This window comes from Homo sapiens, chromosome 8, assembly GCF_000001405.40.
Source record: "Homo sapiens chromosome 8, GRCh38.p14 Primary Assembly".
NCBI classification, from domain to species: domain Eukaryota; kingdom Metazoa; phylum Chordata; class Mammalia; order Primates; family Hominidae; genus Homo; species Homo sapiens.
This window is the reverse complement of record NC_000008.11, coordinates 478695-498758: the sequence shown is the minus strand read 5'-3', so window position 1 is coordinate 498758 and position 20064 is coordinate 478695. Positions and strand designations below refer to the sequence as shown.

At 46.9% G+C, this 20064-nt stretch overlaps 1 protein-coding gene across 4 annotated transcripts in view, besides 4 other annotated features; it reads left to right on the top strand.

Annotated features, from left to right (window-relative positions):
• The window catches only part of TDRP (testis development related protein), a 55835-nt gene extending 47022 nt beyond the window's left edge, over nucleotides 1–8813 (top strand). For 3 of the 4 annotated variants that reach the window (NM_175075.5, XM_047421392.1, NM_001384899.1), the window contains 2 exons: nucleotides 4162–4265; nucleotides 6015–8813. In NM_175075.5, the coding sequence (NP_778250.2) occupies nucleotides 4162–4265; nucleotides 6015–6360 (450 nt within the window). In that variant the 3' untranslated portion in view covers nucleotides 6361–8813. The remainder of the gene's footprint in view (nucleotides 1–4161; nucleotides 4266–6014) is intronic. The other variant, NM_001256113.2, reaches the window with a different exon arrangement.
• Nucleotides 10511–11322: an enhancer, noted in NCBI's record as "H3K27ac-H3K4me1 hESC enhancer chr8:437437-438248 (GRCh37/hg19 assembly coordinates)". NCBI's record gives its function as "activates a minimal SCP1, AML or CMV promoter by ChIP-STARR-seq in primed H9 embryonic stem cells {active_cell/tissue: H9 hESC(primed)}" and the evidence as "EXISTENCE:reporter gene assay evidence [ECO:0000049][PMID:30033119]".
• Nucleotides 11323–12136: an enhancer, noted in NCBI's record as "H3K27ac-H3K4me1 hESC enhancer chr8:436623-437436 (GRCh37/hg19 assembly coordinates)". NCBI's record gives its function as "activates a minimal SCP1, AML or CMV promoter by ChIP-STARR-seq in primed H9 embryonic stem cells {active_cell/tissue: H9 hESC(primed)}" and the evidence as "EXISTENCE:reporter gene assay evidence [ECO:0000049][PMID:30033119]".
• Nucleotides 18711–19210: an enhancer, noted in NCBI's record as "NANOG-H3K4me1 hESC enhancer chr8:429549-430048 (GRCh37/hg19 assembly coordinates)". NCBI's record gives its function as "activates a minimal SCP1, AML or CMV promoter by ChIP-STARR-seq in naive H9 embryonic stem cells {active_cell/tissue: H9 hESC(naive)}" and the evidence as "EXISTENCE:reporter gene assay evidence [ECO:0000049][PMID:30033119]".
• Nucleotides 19211–19712: an enhancer, noted in NCBI's record as "NANOG-H3K4me1 hESC enhancer chr8:429047-429548 (GRCh37/hg19 assembly coordinates)". NCBI's record gives its function as "activates a minimal SCP1, AML or CMV promoter by ChIP-STARR-seq in naive H9 embryonic stem cells {active_cell/tissue: H9 hESC(naive)}" and the evidence as "EXISTENCE:reporter gene assay evidence [ECO:0000049][PMID:30033119]".

Below are 20064 nucleotides of genomic sequence, written 5' to 3'. Positions count from 1 at the left end.
GGATTATAGTTTGACACAAAATTTGGGTGGGGACACAGAGACAAACCACATCATTCTGCTCCTGGCCCCTCCCAAATGTAATGTTCTTCTTACATTTCAAAACCAGTCATGCCTTCCCAACAATCCCCCAAAATCTTAACTCATTCCAGCATTAACTCAAAAGTCAAATCCAAAGTCTCATCTGAGACAAGGTAAGTAGTCTCATCTAAGACAAGGTAAGTCCCTTCTGCCTATAAGCCTGTAAAATCAAAAACAAGTTAGTTACTTTAAAGACACAATGGAGGTGCAGGCGTTGGGTAAATGCACCCACAACAAAAGGGAAAAATTGGCCAAAACCAAGGGGCTACAGTCTGAAACCCAGCAGGGCAGTCATTAAATCCTAAAGTTCCAAAATAATCCCTTTACATGCCATGTCTCATATCCAGGGCATGCTGATGCAAGGGGTGGGCTTCCAACGCATTGGGCATCTCCACAGACCCTGTGGCTCTGCAGGGTACAGCCCCATTTGATTTCTTTCATGGGCTGGCATTGAGTGCCTGTGGCTTTTTCAGGTGCATGGTTCGAGTTGTTGGTGGATCTACCATTCTGAGAAGACGGTGGCCCTCTTCTCACAGCTCTACTAGGCAGTACTCCAGTGGGGACTTGGTGTGGGGGTTGCAACCCCACATTTCCCTTGCATGCTGCCCTAGTGGAGGTTCTTCTTGAGGGCTCTACCCTTGCAGCAGATTTCTGCTTGGATGTCCAGCCATTTCCATACCTCCTCTGAAATCGAGGCAGAGGCTCCCAAACTCCTGCCTTCTGTGTACTTTCAGGCCCAATACCATGTAGAAACCACCAAGGCTTGGGCTTTGCACCCTCTGAAGTCATGGCTGGAGCTATACCTTGGCCCCATTTAGCCACTGCGGGAGGTGGAGCGGCTGGGACACAGGACACCATGTCCAGAGGTGCACAGTGAAGCAGGACCCTGGGCCTGGCCCAGAAAACCATTTTTCCCTCCTAGGCCTCTGGACCTGTGATGGGAGGGGCTGCCATGAAGGTCTCTGAAATGCCCTGGAGACATTTTCCCCATTGTCTTGACAATTAACATTGGCTCTTCTTTACTTATGCAAATTTTTGCAGCTGGCAGCTTGAATTTCTTCCCAGAAAGGGTTTTCTTTTCTACCATTTGCAGGGTCAGGCTGCAAATTTTCCAAACTTGTATGCTCTGCTTGCCTTTTAAACATAAGTTCCAATTTCAGACCATCTCTTTGTGAACACATATGACTGTATGCTGTTAGGAGCACCCAGGCCACATGTTGAACCCTTTGCTGCTTAGAAATTTCTTCTGCCAGATATCCTAAATCATCTCCCTCTAGTTCAAGGTTCCACATATCTCTTGGGCAGGGGCAAAATGCCACCAGTCTCTTTGCTAAGGCAAAGCAAGAGGGACCTTTACTCCAGTTTCCGATAAGTTCCTCATCTCCATTTGAGACTACCTAATCCTGGACTTCATTGTCTGTATCACTGTCAGCATTTTGGTCAGAACCATTCAACAAGTCTCTAGGAAGTTCCAAACATTCCCACATCTTCCAGTCTTCTTCTGGACCCTCCAGACTATTCCAGCCTCTGCCCCATTACCCAGTTCCAAAGACACTTCCACGTTTTCAGGTATCTTTATAGCAGTACCGCACTCCTCTCGTACCAATTCTCTGTGTTAGTCTGTTTTCACACTGCTATAAAGAACTACCTGAGACTGCATAATTTATAAAGAAAAGAGGTTGACTTACAGTTCTGTATGGCTGGGGAGGCCTAGGAAACTTACAGTCATGGCAGAAATGGAAGCAAGGCACATCTTATGTGGCAGCAAAGCTAGGCATGTCTTACATGGCGGCAGGATAGAGAGAGAGAAAAGACAGGTGCCACACACTTTTAAATGATCAGATCTCATGAGAACACCAAGAGGAAAATCTGCCCCCATGATCCAGTCATCTCCCACCAGGTCCCTCCCCTGACACATGGGGATTATGGTTTGACTTGAGACTTGTGTGGGGACACAGAGCCACACCGTATCACACCTTTAGGACATGCAGGTGGTGTGTGGAGCAAATAGCATCTGAAGGTGGTGACGACAGCTTAAAGGAAGGGGTGGGCAGTCCATGGAGGGGTGAGGCACAGGCTTGTGGTGTTGGGACACAGCAGGCCTGGGAATGGGGAACATAACAACTTGGCAGTGAGACATTAGCTCAAGCCTTGGCTTTGCTTCCTGGCCATTTGTGTGAGCTAAGTTCCCCAAGGTCACGAAGCTTCACTGTGTCTGTCTCATGGGGCATTGCTCAGAGTGAGGGACGTGGTAGGTGGAGATTGCATTGCACAGTGCTGGGCACATAGTGACTGCACATGGTCCTTCCTCCAGAGTCCAGATGGGTTAGCCTCTAGAATTATGTTCTTAATTGAGACTTCTTGATAGGATCCTGCCACATGCTCTGTCATGCCATGGGCCCTGCGCATCAGACGTAATCCTTTACCTGATGTGCATACAAGTGTGCCAAAGCTGTCAGCATGACATGGGTTGTGTGATCGGTTTTTGTGCAGTGTGTGATGTGGAAAGCTGATACCTGATGCTCAGTGTTTTTTGCTGTGATGGTTTCTTTGGTAGGTTTTTGTGCAGTGTGTGATGTGGAAAGCTGATACCTGATGCCCAGGGTTTTTGTTGTGATGGTTTCTTTGGCGTGGGTACTGCCATCATACTCCTATCCCAGTATCTGATTCATAAACGCCTCTCCAGTCACAACTGTTGGAGGGCCTGTCCCCCGTCTACAGATGCAGACCTCTGCCCAGACAGGGAGTTGAGAGTCTGGCCTATGGGAAGTAAAAGTGGGACCCCTTAGTCCCTGGTTAGTTTTCAGGGTCATCTCTGCCCTTTGCCCCTTCCTGAGGCTGTGTTACACCCTGGAGACCCCCAGACATTGCACCTGGCAATCACTGGGTCACCTCAAAGGGTTGATTGAATTGTATTCATTATCCTTGTCTCGGATCAGTGTCATGCTGCAGCCTCAGGTCAGCTTTCAGGATTGCTTTATTTTTGTATTATATTTTTAACAACGCAAAGTATTCTAAAGCTGGCTCTACCCCGTGAGAGACCCTTCCCAGCCCTAGCAATGTGATGATGAACCCTGGGAAATGTTAATCAGTGAATATGAAGGGCCTTCGACACACGCCGGATTTTCAGATGGTTTTCTCCATTCTTCTTAGTAATGGATTTCGTTGTATCCAAGATGGTATTAATTATATCTTGATGTCAGAAATGAAAAAATTGTACAAAATCATTTGTTTACAGTCAACAAAATTATTTCTTCTCAGAAATCTACACTTGTAGAAGTTAGGGCAAGGGTCACTGTCTCCATGGAGATGCTGACGCTTAAAGGTAGTGGCACAGTTGTTCCAGGGGACCTTGGAGAAGACCCCCTTCTAGGGGACCTCTTGTAACAACCTTCTCAAAGGTCAGTCTCCTATGTGTTTTGTTGTTGTTGCTGTTGTTTGTTTTTTGAGATGGGGTCTTGCTCTGTTGCCCAGCCTGGAGTGCAGTGGTGAGATCACAGTTCTCTGCAGCCTTGACCTCCTGGGTCTCAAGTGATCCTCCCACCTCAGCTTCCTGAGTATCTGAAACTACAGGTTTGCACCACCATACCTGGCTAAGTTTTTGTATTTTTTGTAGCAACGGGGTCTCACTTTGTTCCCCAGGCTGGTGTTGAACTCCTGGGCTCAAGTAATCCTCCTGCCTTGGCTTCCTAAAGTGCTGGGATTTCAGGTATGCGCCACCATGCCCAGCCCAATCTCCCAAGTTTTAAGGAGACCTAATTCTTATTTGTGAGGGAAGCTTCGTCTGATTTTAAGCATCACTTTCATAAGCTTTTTGAGGCAAAATATTGACTTGTCTAATACTAAATTTAGATTACTCAGCATCACTGATAAGCTGTTAAGCTGTTAGGACCACAATACCAAAACAGCTGAGATGACTAGTAGCTAATGGGAGTAAACTATGTGCGCACAGGTATGGAAAGCTAAGATGTAAGCTCTGCCAATTCTTTTTTCTAAATTTCAACTCCATGGTTATTGGAGTAGAAAGCGGAATTCTGTTGATTCATGACATCAGATTTGACATTTTTCTTAACCTTTTATTAGGTTCAGGGAGCAAGTTTCCGAGGTTGGAAAGAAGTGACTTCACTGTTTAACAAAGATGATGAGCAGCATCTCCTGGAAAGATGTAAATCTCCCAAGTCCAAAGGGTAAGTCATAACTGTGTAAGAAAATGATCATTTCAGGAGAGGGAGGAAGTCACTGAGGAGGTGGAAATGAAGATTTGATGGCATAAATGCAGTGTAACTGGAGGCATTGTGGGGCGCGGCGAGTCCATGTTTCCCTCCCCACTCCGTCTGTCCCTGTTGAGTGGCAGACGGTCATGGACTTCATGATGTGTGCTTCGGAGTTAACATCCATCCCTTGTGAATAAACAGAAATGGGCTGGGCATGGTGGCTCATGCCTGTAATCCCAGCACTTTGGGAGGCCAAGGCAGGCAGATCACAAGGTCAGGAGTTCAAGACCAGCCTGGCCAACATGGTGAAACCCCGTCTATACTAAAAAAAAAAAATCAGAAATTAGCTGGACATGGTGGCATGTGCCTATAATCCCAGCTACTCGGGAGGCTGAGGCAGGAGAATTGCTTGAACCTGTGGGAGACGGAGGCAACAGAGCAAGACTCTGTCTCAAAAAAAAAAAAAAAAAAAACAACAGAAATGAGTTGTGGTGTTCGATGAAAAAAAAAGAAACTGTACTTTGGATAAAAGGTCCTGAGGGTCTCTGTTGGCATTTTGAAAGGTTATGGAAAAGTGGAAAATAACTTAGAATTATAAATTGAACTTATTAGCCTTAAAGCAGCCTGTAGCCTCACTTAAGATTTTTAGTAGTTTCAGAAAAAAACCAAACCAAAACAAAACAAAAACAACCACCACCAAAAAAAACACTGTTAAAAATACAAAGGATTGACTGGTAAACTGTAAAAGATTTTAGAGAATTGAATACATTTAAACTGACCTTGCTACTTTATCATCAGTGTTTCAGAATTTTTAAAAAGTGTAAAGTTGAAAATGTAAGTTCAGTGACTACCCAATGATATTACCAATGGCATATTTGCTCCGTGTTATGGAAGCTGTTTGATTAGAAGATGAGTCCTGGTGAGTCTACAAGTACAGAGTTGGCTTTTGTTTGAGGACTGTGGGCCCCCGGTCTGCTTCTCTGCACTTCTGTGCACTGAGGACAGACACATGGCCCTTCGTGCTCTGGCGGAGCTGTGACTTCACCTTCATCCTTCATCTGTAGAGGATGGGTAAACCGGTTCCCTGGTTGTCAGGCGACCTGCTAATACATCAGCATCTGGAAGGAGAGGGCCTGGGCACTGGTGTTCTTAACAATGTTCCCAGGTGATGCTCGCGGACAGTCAGGGTGAAGAGTAGTTTAGGATCTTTCTTCCCTAGCTGTCGCTTGCTACCATTTCCTTTTTATAGTAGATGGTGTTCTGAATTCTTATTTTTGTTGAGTAAATTACCTACTAAATGCTTGACCTTACCTTGCTGTGTTAATCCAATTGAAAACCTATTTGATAAATTGAATAGATTTCCCTTGTTTCTTAATCTAGACCCTGGATTCTCATAGATCTGATTTGCTCAAAATCTTGAGTACCACCTTCCTATTGCCTTGAGGTTCTCTCTTGTGTGATAATACTTCTTTCTTGTCAGAACTAGTTCTTTGCTTATGTATTGCCAAGTGGTGTCCTAAAATGTGGCTTTTACACACTTCATTAACAACATATAGTGACTAATTTTTCCTTAATTTTAATATTTGAAACTTTTCATATAGACTTGTGTTAGTTTTCTAAACAATTTTTTAAAATTTTAAAGAATTTTATGTTTGTAAAATGGATAAAGCTTGAGGCCCTAAGACCTGGGTCACCAACACCTAACTCTTTCATCTCCTATAGAACTAACTTACGATTAAAAGAAGAGTTGAAGGCAGAGAAGAAATCTGGATTTTGGGACAATTTGGTTTTAAAACAGAATATACAGTCTAAAAAACCAGATGAAATTGAAGGTTGGGAGCCTCCAAAACTTGCTCTTGAAGACATATCGGCTGACCCTGAGGACACCGTGGGTGGCCACCCATCCTGGTCAGGCTGGGAGGATGACGCCAAGGGCTCGACCAAGTACACCAGCCTGGCCAGCTCTGCCAACAGCTCCAGGTGGAGCCTGCGCGCGGCAGGGAGGCTGGTGAGCATCCGACGGCAGAGTAAAGGCCACCTGACAGATAGCCCGGAGGAGGCGGAGTGAGGGGGGCTGCGTGGCAAGTGTGCCCCGACATGGTGGCCTTTTATGAGTATACCATGTAGTTGTTGAGTCTTTTCCGCGTTAGAAAGAATAGAGAGTCTACTTTTTGCCTATATTTGATATTTGGACCTCTGTTTCTTTATTTAATGAACTCTCACACACACTGTGACTCCTTGGTGAACACGTGCAGGGATTGTACATTTGATTGCCTTATTGCAGAAATATTCACCTATCAGTCCATGTTTTGCAGAAACTGGAGATGTGAATTTATGATGCTCTCCCATAATACAGCAGTAATGATTTGCAGTTTCTCACAAAATGATTTTCATGCTGCTCTGTGTTGTAGTTCTGTTTCAGAACTTCCGTACCTTTTTCTTGTATGTAGCACGTATAAATGCAGCTGTCATGCAGTTCTTTTCTTTTGCTAGAAAATTAGTCAGGAGGTAAGATGAATCTTCCAAAGTTATGTTAAATTTTGTTTAACTTGACAAATTAAACTTTGTTCTTATTAAACAAATACGTAAACAAATACTGGAAAAGCAAAGCTTATATTTGGGAGTAAAATGTATCTTAAAATGCATGTTCATCTTTTGCTGAGGGAGGAATAGCTTCTTGTATGTCCACTGGATAGTAACAGTGGTTCTTTTTTGGAATTTTATTTTTACCTCTTTTGAACTTCTAAATCGGTCCCTTTATTTTCTTAAAACATTTGCTCTCTTTTTTGTTTACAGATTAAAGAAGTATGGATCAATTTTAGTCAGTTGATAATTTCATTTAGGAAACATTGTCTTGCTCATTATAGAGAGTTAAGACTGTGCATAAAATACTGAAGTGCCTCTTTTTTATTAGGCTCATATGTTTGTTCTTGCAAAGCGAGATGCCTATTGTGATTGGTGTTAGATCTGTAAGAAGCTGTGTTTTTTCCACAAGAATAATCGACGACCGGTTTGAGAGCATCTCTCGCGTTCTTTTTCTGTCTGCTTACTGTCCTTGACAATGTGATCCTGCACAGTATCAGGTGCCAGTTATGCGTCCCTGGAAGGTTGGCTCTTATCAGCAAGTCCTGCAGATATCTCTTAGATAAAAGTGGTTTGAAAGAAAAGGTATATTTTTCTTTTTTGTTTAAAAGTAAAATAAAACCTCCAGTTACACTGTGCATTCCCCTCACGTAAAAACAAGACAAAAACCCTTTCCTGAGTTGCTCGGCATGCACTCCTGTGCTGTTTCATGCATGTGGATGTTCCTTCCGTTTGTTCCTGTGGAATAACTGAGTGTGCCTGATGGCAGAACACACTGCAGTGTTATCAGTGTCTGCATGTTTTTTAATAGAACAGGTTTACTTGATCTGTCATCTGTTATGCAAAAAACAGCAATTACTTTTGCATCCATCTAGCTAAATCTATAATCTGTGTCAATCACTTATACCTATCAATCATCCGTATCTATTCACCTGTCCTCTATGTCTGTCTTCTCTCAGTCTACATCCATCTAGCCTTCTGTCAATCATCTACTTTTTTTTTTAATAGAACAAGAAGTTTACTTATCAAGTCTTGAAAGGGGGACATGTTTCAATTGGTGTTCAAACAAAAATTCCAGCTTGTATTAGAACCTTGAAATGGTGAAGTTGTGGAGGTTTTCTTTGTTCCATAATACAGAGACAAGTTCATAATTTTTAGTATAACAGCTAAGTTGACAAATTCTAAGTTTCCTCAGGTAAATAGTCATAACTGTCCTTTTCCCTAGAGAAGTGCTTGCTGGGATAGTAAAAACATACACCATTTCATGACTTCTGCAAATACTTTCCAGCGGAAGTCAGTGTAGGTTTGTTTTTGGCTAACATGGTCTTGCTGCGCAGGAATGTAAACACTGTGTTTGAAACTCTGGAAATCACGTGTGTGGGGAGATGGGGACGCTTCCCATGTTGTGGGGAGCTCTGTGGCTGTGATGGCTGCAGTTGCCGTGCCTCTGTTGGAACGCTAAGTGCCTGCAACTCACGTCAATCATAGAATTGTGACGCACAGTTGGCAAAATAGTTCTTTATGCTATTTCTCAAAATTTGAGGACAAACCCAGATTGGGATTGGAATATGCACTGTAAATCAAATTTTTCTTATCTACAAAGACTAATGTAAAAATGATTTTTTCTTCTGTGCCTGATTAAATTAACTGTGGTTTTTAATATAAATATTTATTGGTGTGCTTTGGGAGAAAAATTATCTTTTCTTGAAAGAAGTTATCAAAGCAAATTTATTATCTTCACAAGTTAATGGGAGAATGTGGTTTTGATTCTGGGTGTTTGAATTGTGTAAACACACAGCTTCCTTGTGTGAAGAGAGTTGTCCTGTGCTCCTTCTACTGTACTTTTTTTATTTTTTAATAGGAAAGTGATGTGCTTCAGAGAAGGGTTCCTCCTTAATGTTGAGGTTTTTTAAAAATAAAAATACTGTTTTTAAGCTCTTTCCTTATTGGTTTGCATGATTATTGGCATCTGCTTACGATGGCTTTAATCACTCAGAGCTAATGGCACCTTTCCTATTTAGCCTCATTTTAGAATGCAGTCAACACATGTAGACTTTTCACAAATAAATGAACAACTTCAACCTTGGTTTTCAAGATGTGTCTTCTGCGTATTTGAATGGCCTGTGTGTGACTGAGTCCTTGGTGCAGGGCCCCCCACTCTGGAGGGCAACAGTGTGGCGGGGCACCCCGGCTGCTGTTTTTGGTTCTTTATTTCATGAGTTCTGTCTTTAAGCTTTTACTTCTTCATTTTCAAGTGGAGAAACATGAACATAGTAGCAACAATTCATTTTTATGTATCTTTAAAAAAGATGACCATCTCTTAGAAACAAGTTCTTTTAGAAAGCAGTGGCCTGTTCTAGAGAGTGCTGTTCACTCCCATGGGAACAGGACCCTGGAGCCTGCAGTGCCTTTGAGGCTGCGTTTTTGGGGTGCAGATGCTTTGCGGGGAGCCCAGGGCCATGTGGGATCTCTCTTCTCAGGCCTGCGTCCTGGGCAGCTGGATTCCCTGGCCTTTCTCGCCGACCTCATGGGTGAGTGTGGACTGCAGTGTCGCCTACTCCACCCTTGCTGGGGAGCATGGATGTTACTGGTGCCCACTTTGCCCCCGCCTTCCCCCCTGCCCCCGGTCTTGCCTGGTGCCCTCAGAGCCTGAGCCTCTCACCCACACCTGCCATGTAATTCCGGTCCTCCTCTGGCTGTCTCACAGGTGAGGGAAACATTCTGCCCTCTGTCACTCCACCAATTTAGTTTTAGCCATTAATTTGCTTTAGGTTTTTTTAGTCATTCTTCAGTTTATATTTGCTTGATCAACCAAAAGACCAGCCAGCAGGGCACTCTTGAGTCAGCTCTGAAGAGATCAGCTGGCTAAGATGATTTTTCCAGTGCTCAACATTAACTTGATCATTTCCCCCCACCCAAAAAAAAAATGCTTAACTGCAGAGAGCACTCTACTCTGGGTGACAGAGTGACGCCCTGTAAAAAAAAAAAAAAAAAAAAATTGCTCAGAGTAGTCCAAAGGTTGTTTAAACAGCGCTGAATGACTGAGAGAGCTTGCTGCTTATTTTTTTCCTTCCAGTAGAAAAACAGTTATAGCCCAGCTGATGAGGTAGAAATGCACTGAGCAGGTCTCAGCCCCAGCGGAAACAGAGTAGCCCTCGTCATCCAGGTGCTGTGTTGCTTGGTAAAAGTGTGTCTGCCTCGGGCTGCGACCTGCCACGTGAACTCTCTGACCCAGCACCAGCCAGAATCAACATTTGGGGATTCAGACTGCAGCAACAAGTGATTCCCCTCTTGGCCTGCAGTTCTGTAATCCCAAAATTGTTTCTAATTGTGGATATGAGACATCAAAATGAGGGCTGAATCAGATGAAATTATGCTCAGTTCAGCCTCAGATTTAAGTGATTTATTGTTTTCTAGTTCTTCAGACCTAATAGAGCTGCTGTGGTGGCTCTGTCAGTGGTTGGCAGTGGCCATCAGCCCTCACCCTGCCATTGGGGGCCTTGTGCGTTGGCATCTGGTTGTTGCTAGCAGCCCTGAGGGGGATGGGGCAGGCCACCGCCACCTCTCACTGGCTGCTGGGCTCAGGACTGGTCTGCTGTTAGGGAAGCTGCAAGTCCAGCCAGTTGACTGCACCTATTTAAGAAAAAGCACTACTCTGTTACCTGAGAACCTTTGAGATTCCTGTTGTGAAGGAACAATCATATGGAAATGAAAACTTAAGCTTTTAGCTAATAACAGAAAAGTGAACTAGCTTTTGTCAGTTGTTCAAAAGTGTAAAATTCTACTGAAAGAAGACAGCTCAATATTTCAAACGCTGGAGCTGTGTTATTTGGTAACCAAGTAGAGACGGCGCCCGGCAGTAATCTGCGGCTGCTCAGTGTGGCCCTTTCACTGAGGCCTTGGTCCACAGCACCAGCCCCGAGAGGGGTCCCAGCTGCCGACCTTCAGGCTTTCTTTTCTGTTTATAAAGTGAGGGTATTCTCAGAGAGCTTTGAGGAGAAAATAGTGAAGCTTGAAGGTTGTTGGTGAAGCTGTGAAATATTGAACACTTCCTAATCTTAGATTAGGTTTTCTGCATCTTAGATGAGTCTTGAATAGCTATAACCAAAGGCTCTTGTTTATTTAAACACTTTAATTATAGAGAGCTAAAGGCAGGAGGCACAGGGTTTGGGTGGGTGAGGGGCTTTGCAGAATACAGCTGGTGCTCATCAGCCCCTGCTAGGAATTTAGGACTCACTGGTGTAGTTGCTATAAAAGCTGCCACCTCCAGGAAGACAACTATGGGTGTTTAAAGTGGTGGTGGTGTAGACAGCGACATTTCCAGTGAGCTTTAGGCAGGAATGCAGGGAGGGCCTTGGGAGCGAGGCAGCAGGCGGGCAGGTGTGGATGGGTCCATGCTCAGAGCCATATCATCACCCCCAGGCAGCATCCTGAAGCCCACTGAGAATTTGGGCTGAGTGATGTGCCCCGGAGTGGGAGGCAGCTGGCACCACACGTTTCTCTGGTAGCTTCTTCGGCTGTGGAAGTCTCCAGGTTAGGGGCTGATCACCACCACTTCGTCCATGACCCTCTGTCTCCTGTCTTTAGAGGTCAGCGGAACGGTTCCGTGGAGCCGCCCTCCCTTAAGCCCAGATGCTCACACCGAGCTTCCTGATTGTCCTTCTTGTCATGGCTGTGTTCAAGATGTTCTTTCTGTGGGGCGTCTCTTCCTTGCTGGGCTGACAGCCCTGGGACAGCGGGGACGCCACACCCTGGGGCACACCGCCTAGGGTCCCTTGTGTGGTGGGGGGCCAAGAGAGACTGCTATGGAAGGTGATGTTGACTGGGATTACCAGTACAGGTCCTGACAACTGTAAGGTCACAATTAGTATCCAGCATGCCTGTCTGCCATGCATCCCTTTGCCCATCCTGAGCTGGCGATGATGCCACATGTGAGGCCCTGTCCTGGACTCACCATGTGGGTGTTTGCAGCTCTGCCTGAGAGACCTTGTTCCTCATGCACAATAGGAAGCAGCAGGCCTGTCTGTTAGGACTGCTGTGAGTCACTGCGATGGCCCAGGAGCCTGCCACGTTCTGAGGTCATCAGCACAGCACCCGTTGTTGTTACTGGGAGTTAACATGCAGGGGGGACTCCCTCTAACGGCAGCATGCTGAGTACTGGCAGCCTCACTGATCCGGTCATGTGGCCTCGGGAGCCGCACAGGCTTCATGGGGGTTTTGTGGTTTTAAGGACTGTGAGGGTTGACTGAATTATATGCACTCACTTGTCATGTTTCTGGGCTTTTTGTGCCCTTTTCCCTGGTACTGCAGGAAAGGAAAAGACAAAGTACTGTCAAGAGCAATTGCTGAGCAGATTTGATGTGATGCAGTAGGATGAGACATGATACTGGGATCACCTCTTCCAGGTCACCGCAAGGGTTTATACTGCTCCATGCCTGCAGTGCTTCTGGCTCTGTTGCGGGAGCACCTGACCCCAGTAGCCACAGCCAAGAAGGTTTTACTTTTAAATGGCATCGGCAGGTGGGTAAGAGTTGATGATGCTGCTGGCAGGTGAGGGACCGGCTGTGGACTTCCATCGCCGGTTCCACCTGCCCTCCTGGGCCAGGGTCTCTGAGATCTTGGATGTGGATTTCATCTCCTTGTTGTCAATACCTGGTGCTTTTATCTATCATCAGTACACTGTACTTTTACTTCTCTGCTATGTTGACTCCTGAGAACATGAGATTTAACAATGCATTTATTTTATTAAAAGCCAGTTTTTCTTGGCAATCTGTATTTTTTAACACAAGACAGTCTGACATTAGCGCACTGGTGTTGGCGGCCTCTGATAAGGCAAAGCCACCTTTTGCTGCTGTGTTGCCGCAAGAACACGGGTCATCTGGTGATGCGGACACGTTCCCGTTGGAGCTGGAGCGTGTCCCCCTCGCTGCTGTGAAGAAGCACAGTAAGATATGTGATAAATGATAAATTTTAATAGTTATGTTTAAATGAAAGAATGGGGTGAATTTTACCTCTGTTTTTAATGTTTCTGGAGTATGTCAAAAAATACTAGAAAGGAGTACTGACTATTCACAAACACAGTGCTTGTATACCTGTGGTGCTTCCTAGACATGCCATTGCTGTCTCAGCAGCTCCACCTCGGATCGCGGGGAAGCGAGGCAGCAACTGGAAGCCTGGGGTCCTGCTGGTGCCATCTCTGAAGCGCCTCTGCCTCTCACGCGGGTGTCCTGCTCTCTGGCTGCGTGCGTGTATCCTGTTCCTCCTCAAGGTGCAGCCTCCATGTGGGCATCGTGGGAAGTCAATGTTTACCAAACTGTGAAGCGGGCACAGCCTGGGGTGGAGTCAGTTCAGTGCAGTTCAGGCACAGAGGGGACCTCTTGCCAGGCAGGAATGTTGCAGTGTCTGGGGCTTTCTACTCCACTGGGTTGAAAGCCTTAGGAGGTGTCAAGTCCGTCTCTTTCCTTCTCAACTTGAGCACGGTGAGCTGAAAATGCACCCCTTGCTGACCGCCCCACTCCCTCCGCAGGTGAAAGCCATTGGCCTCCCAGAATGTCAAGCTATTAAATTTAGGCAATGACTTGGCACAGTGAAAGGCTGGGGTGGGAGGGAGGTAAACAAAACAAAATCAGTTCACTTCCCCTGAGGAAGTAAACTATTTTTGATTGAATTAATATATTTCAGTTCCCTGAGGTGGAAAACTCCAGCTCATACAGCCAGCTGTGTTTGAGGATTCAACTAAACTTTCTGCCAAAAAACCTCAGCTCAGAAATAAAACTAGAAGTGAGCACAATGAAACTTTAAGTACTTCTTATTTAGGTTATGTACTTGTTATTAGATTATTAAAAAATGACCTAATTTTTAAACAGTGACAAGTGGCAGGGCTGCCTGACCACGTTGCCTCCCTGTTCCTGTGGGCTTTGGAGGAGGCTCGGCTGCCTCTGCTGCTGCAGTCGGCTGGGAGGGGCTCAGGCGACATCTGTCTGAGCTCCTGTTGCTGTTTAGGGAGGGGGCAGGTGGCAGGGCTTAGAGCAGCCACACCAGCCTGCGGCCTGGCCTTACTGGGCCCCAGCAGGCGTTGACGCCTACCTGCGCCACACCCGTCAGACACCTGTGCTTTGCCCTTGCCTCCCTCTGGGGCCTTAGCACAGTCCTGCAATGCCGGCATTGCTGTGCCCATTTTATAGATGCTGAGTGAGGTCCAAGAGTCCCGCTCTTAAACGCCTGGAATGAGTTTGTTCTGTGGCAGGTGGAATGACACCAGATGATGGGAGACTGCAGACTGAGGTGCGGAGGAAGGGCAACCTTCATTCAGTTGTGGGTATTTATGCAGCATTTCCCAGGAATGAGGCAAAGTATCACAGGTGCAGGGAAGCTCACACAGACCACCAGGGACAGCCTGCTGAGGACAGACAGGCTCGAGGCCAAGGCCACGTCCCCAGAGTCTCGGCAGGAAAGGGGCATGCCTGCACCAGGTCTGAGCCACTGTGACAGCGTTGGGGCTCCCTTGTGGAAGGCGCCACCTGCCACCATGACCTCTGGCATTTCCCTAGGGAGGTCCCCCTCTGGTGTGGGGTGTGGGGTCAGATGCTGAAGTTGGGATCTTTGCACCAAGGCAGACAGCCGTTTGGCCTTGAGCTTGTTTTGAAGTTGCTGGGCCCTGATGGGGTTTGGTGCTGTGTGGTTCTGGGGAGTCTTTGTCAAGTCTGGGCGTCCCTTGGCTGGATGGGTGGCATCCCTCATAAGGTGTGTGGTGGCCCGAGTTCCGTCTCAGGAGGCCGTGGCCTGTGCCAGCAACACGAGTGCAGCCTGGGCGACTCCCTACTCTGGGCCTCTGGTGATCTGAGCTGTGCTCTGCGGGATCCACTTGTGGGCCCGGCCTCAGCCTGGCCTGACTGCAGCATGTTCTATTAAGTATTCAAAACACGATCAGCTTGAAGGCACATCCTCCCCAACCCTTGCCTGCTGCTGAGGTCGGGGTCTGGGGTGCTCTTGGTGGAGGAGATGCAGCTTTCAGGCCTGCATCCCAGCTCTGCATGCAGCCCCTGCCACCTCCCACCCAAGTGCCAGGAAGCCACTTTGTCTCCCTCCATTCTACATGAAAGCACCTTCCCAAAGCTTCTCTAGTGTTTCAGGGTCTTGGCCCAGGGTGGTGCTTCCACTGGGACATGGTCCCCAGGGTTTGTAGGGCCCAGGTTTGGGTCCCGTGCCGGCTGCCACCCAGCCCCAGATACCACGGCTGCTTCCTGTGCAGCCACCGCATGACAGCCCCCCTCACAAGATGCCCACAGGAGATGCCCGTGTGACAGCTGCACTGGCTCCTTCCATGGCTGAGCACTGGGCCCAGGGAGCAGAAGGCACTGGAAGCAGAAGGGAGGAGCCCTGCCCTGGCAGCATGTGCCAGTGGGGTTCTGAAATGCCCTCCCGTTTACATGAGAAAAGTCGGGGGGTGTGGTTGGTGTGGGCCTTCTGAACTTCAGTTCTTGGATTTCTCATTTTTGTAACGCGAGTGCTATCTATGCTATAACATTCTTAATACTCTTTAAAATTGATTCACTTTAAAGAATTGCTTGCTGAGGAAGCTGGTGGGTGAGGACAGGGTTGCGGATGGTGGGAGGCCCTGTGAGGAGGGGCGAGGGGCTTCAGGGCTGGAACTGCCGAACAGCCAGTGGAGGGGCCAAACCTGGGGAGCGTGGGGCAACTCGTGTGGGAGGTGTTCTCGGGCAGGCTCACCTGCAGCGTCTTTAAGCATGCGCTTTCATAGAATCCTCTTGCAGATCCTGGGGCACCTGTGCCGCCAAGAGTCCTGCTCACCTGGCTGGCTCCTTGGTGCCCTGACCCATGGCTCTTCTCACCTGTGTGCCACCCCCAAGAGGCTTCTTCTTTCTTCTGAAACAGGCCCTCATCTGTGAACCACTGTCCATTGTGGTCCCCTCCTGTTCATTTTGTTCATTTTCTGCTCTTCTCTTGCTTGTTTCTCCCTTGACGCCATAAAGTCAATTTCTCGGTCTAAATCCTGGTTCTCAACCCTAGAGAGGATCAATGTCCCCATATCAACAGGAAGTAGAGCCAGTGACATTTCTACCTCACCCAGAGTGAGGACCAGGTTGGTTGTGTGAGGTGAAGCAGAGCTCTTGCGGGGGGCTAGTGTCATACCCCTAACCCCGCCTTCCATTAAGGCCAAAGCTGGGCCCTGCGGGGCTTTGTCCCATGGCCAGACGTTTTCATCAGAATTAGGTGCTGTTTTCTTCATTGTGTGGAGAGTGGATTTGATGGAAGAAGGTCATGTAATTGGGGGAGGGGGGAGCCAAGTCTCTAGACAGAGTAGGAAAACTAGTGGGGTATTGAGTTTTGGAGACATTTCTAGGGCAACAAGGTATCTTTAGGAATTTGGTCCATGGCAGCCTTGGGCAGATGTTTAAAAAAACAGACTTGTACCTGGAATTCGCTTTTAAAGTCTGCCAGCTGCCCAGGGTCATAGGTTCATTTGCCCAGGCTCCTGCATATTCTAATTTTATCCACTGAGGCCCAGGACACATGGAGTCTCTGCTCAGTCTCTATCCTTAGAAGGAAGCTTCAAGCCGGGCTGTCAGAGCCGACGGTAAACACATGATGAATGTCCCCGCCGCCCTGAACCGTCTTCCTGAGATTCTGTGTGCCTGCCCACTCTTCCTTGCAGAGTCTGAAAGTGCATTGCAGCGTGTTCCTCCGGCTCCCAGAATCGGACATCCGTTTCATCTTGGAGGAGCACATCCTGAATAAAGGTTATTCTAATTTTAACAGCAGCAAATGCTAAGCTCAATGGTGAACTAGAAGGGCCATCTCCCAGCAAAGCCTAATGCATCTTAGGAATGTGTGACCATTTATTTTTTGTTTTTATTAAAAAACCTTTTTAGAGACAGGGTCCTGCTCTGTCACCCAGACTGGAATGCAGTGGCATGATCAGGGCTCAGTACAACCTCCAACTCCTGGGCTCAAGTGATCCTCCTGCCTCAGTCTCCCGAAGTGCTGGGTTGTAGGCCACTGCACCCAGCCATTGTGACAACTTAGTGATTTTTCCCTTAGTGGCTCTGACACAAGAAGCAGACAGGACAGGATGGGGTGGAGGCTCATGGTCACAGTTTGAGTTTTTTCTCCCTTTAAAGTATTTTCCATTCCTGAGGCCAGTGGGATGAAGGAAGGGAAACAAATCACACTTAATCCTCAGATAGTGGTTAATTCTCATAATTAACCAGGTGTATTTCAATTTGGCTTTTTCGAGATGGGGGGGTTGACAAGCATTTCAGTTTTTAAATTTTTTTATGATGAAAAATAAAATCTATGCAAAAGTATGTAGTACAATGGACATCCATAAACTCAGCTACTGCGATTCAATAATGGTTGTATTTGTCATATTTGCTTTGTGTGTCCATACATATATTTAACCATTTAAAAGTAAATTACGGACACCGTATCACCCCCAAGTACTTCAACATATATTTCTAAAAAAAAAAAATGATGCTGCCTGCATAAGTAAATATGATTGGCACACCTAACAAAATTAATTTCCTGTATCATCTAATACATATATATATGTTCCCAATTGTCTGGAATGTACCTTTTAGCTGTTTTTTCCCAAAACCATGATCGTGCATCATATATGGCTGTTCTATCTCTGAAATCTTTTGATGTTGGAAACAGGAGCCCCCTGTCTCCCTTCCCTCGCAGCTTTTCCTGAACACACTGCTGTTTGAGGTGTTCAACTCACTCCTCCATCCTTAGCACTGCCTACAAACAAGAAATTGGATCTAAAGGCTCGGTTAATCCAAGCTGCTGCTTCCTTTCGGGGCAGCTCCTGGGCCCCTGTGCACAGCAGGGCCACATAGTGTCTGACATCCACCATTAGTGGTAACATTAGGCTCAGGTGGTAACAACTGGATCTTTAACCTGGCTCCCCTTATTCCTTAAGCATCTCTCAGTTGTGCCCTCTCTACGCTTCTCGAGGGCTGTGTCCTGGCACCTCTTCTGCAAGCAGAGAGCCAGGGATGTGGCCCGCCACCTGGGACAGGTACCTGCTGTACTCCCTCTCAGATCCAGAAAAGAGGTCATAGCAGTGAAAATGCAGGTGAGACCATTTGATTCCACCCCCCAACCCGCCTGCAAATGTAAGCAGCTTTGTGGGAGGAACTAGTAAAAAAATTTGCATGGGAATTGGAAACATCCTAACCACCTTGAGATCAGACGACACTGCTCTGTTTCCATGCTACAGGGATCCTGTTAAGTGTGACCTGTGTCACAGACCATCGCCTTCCCCTCGGTAGATGCTGAATTGAGGAGGAAGGAGAGGAGAGCTTGAATGAAGGCTGCATTAGTGCACGTGGCTCACATAACAGCCAAGATGCTACAGAGCCCCTTGCTTTCCTCACTAAGGGGTAGCATGATTGTGTGACCTTTGGTTATAAAGCTGTGTGAAACTCAGTAAGTCAAACTTAATTCAAACTTCAAGCCATTGGAACTTTACTCTGGCCTCCAAAAGGGAGGAGGGAAGGAGAAAGGGGACAAGGGTTGAAAAGCTACCTATTGAGCACTACATTCGCTGTTTGGGTGATGAGTTCAAAAGTAACCCAGACCCCACACCATGCAACATACCCATGTAGCAAAGGGGCACATGTGCCCCCTGAAACTAAAATTTAAAAAAGCACTCAAAAAATATTGAGTCTTGGAAGGAATGCAGCTATGCAGCTGGAGCCACGGAGCATACAGCTGCAACCTCTGCCTTTCTTTCCCTATAAACGACCAAATGCATCAGAGATGAGGCCCCTGAGATCACTGCTCCTCACTTTGTGGAGTGCAGCCATCTGTAATGGGTCATATTGCCATAGCGCACACACTGGTCTGTGGAAAACGGCAAGACTCTGCGATATCTCGGCTCCTGCCTATATGAGTGAAGCCTTAACTTTCCACTGTGGAACGCTGACCCTGTTTGTGTAGAGCCCATCCCCCAGGTGGCCATCCTCAAAATGTGTGCTTGAATGTGCTAGACACTTCCCCGTATTTTCTGAGCCTCTTCATTTAAGGCTGACAGCTGATAAAGTTGCACCAGCTGTCCATCAGGTAGATGAGAGTCCAGGGCAGTGCCCAACTCTGTGTAGACATGGGGGCCCCAGAGAGGTGCCTGTCTGGGTTATGTACAGAAAAACCGGTTTGCTAAAGAAGCTGGTGTTTTGAAATGTGACACTTAAGTTTTTAGAGGGAAAATGTAGTAATTGGGGAGCGACCGCACCTCCGGCTATCCCCACGCATGGCTATCCTTTCAGCCACACGTGTGGCACAGTGTGTGCGCCGTCTGCTGGAAGAGCAGGGTTTGGGGAAGAGGTTAACAGATAAGCAACATGAATGGCGCTGAGCCCGTTGGAGGGGCACGGGCAGTCCTGAGTGAATGTTACATAGGAGAGCCAGGGTTGATGTGGCTGCAGCCTCGTCTGCTCTCACACCAGCAGGTGAGTGTTAAAGGCAGGCCTCCTGCTGGTGGGCTTGTTTTCTCCTGGCATGTGTGCCTTGGGAACATGCTGCTTTCCTTTGTGCCTTTCTCTGATTCAAAGACTGGTTTCATCACCACTGAAGGGCATGTCACCTTTATGAGGTATTCCATTCTCTAAGTTTTGGTTACTGTATCTCCAAGACCTGCTGTTTCATGGCAAATCTCCATCCACTGGGTTTCTGATTATGTTTGAAGCTTATCATCATCATGCTGGCATCTTTGCCTTTTGGTGACCAACTGTTATCTTACCAGTGAGTGGTTTCATCTTTTTCAAGTGTGTCTGACAGTAACAGTGACCGCCCCCCACCCCGGTACTATAAGGCTGTCAGTTCGGGTGGATACTTAAATATTTATGTATTTTTTGAGACAGGGTCTCACACTGTTGCCCAGTCAGGAGTACAGTGGCACAAACACAGCTCACTGCAGCCTCCACCTCTGCCTGCTGAGTAACTGGGACTACACGTGTGCCACCATGCCTGGCTTTTTTCCTTTTTCTTTTTTTTTTTTTTTTTTTTTTTGTAGCGACGAGGTCTTGCTATATTGCCTAGGCTGGTCTTGAACTCCTGGGCTCGCTCAAGCAATCTCTGGCCTCGACCTCCCCAAGTGCTGGGATTACAGGTGTGAGGGACTGCACCTGGCCGCCATTTAAGTATTTAGAAATTAATGTCCCAG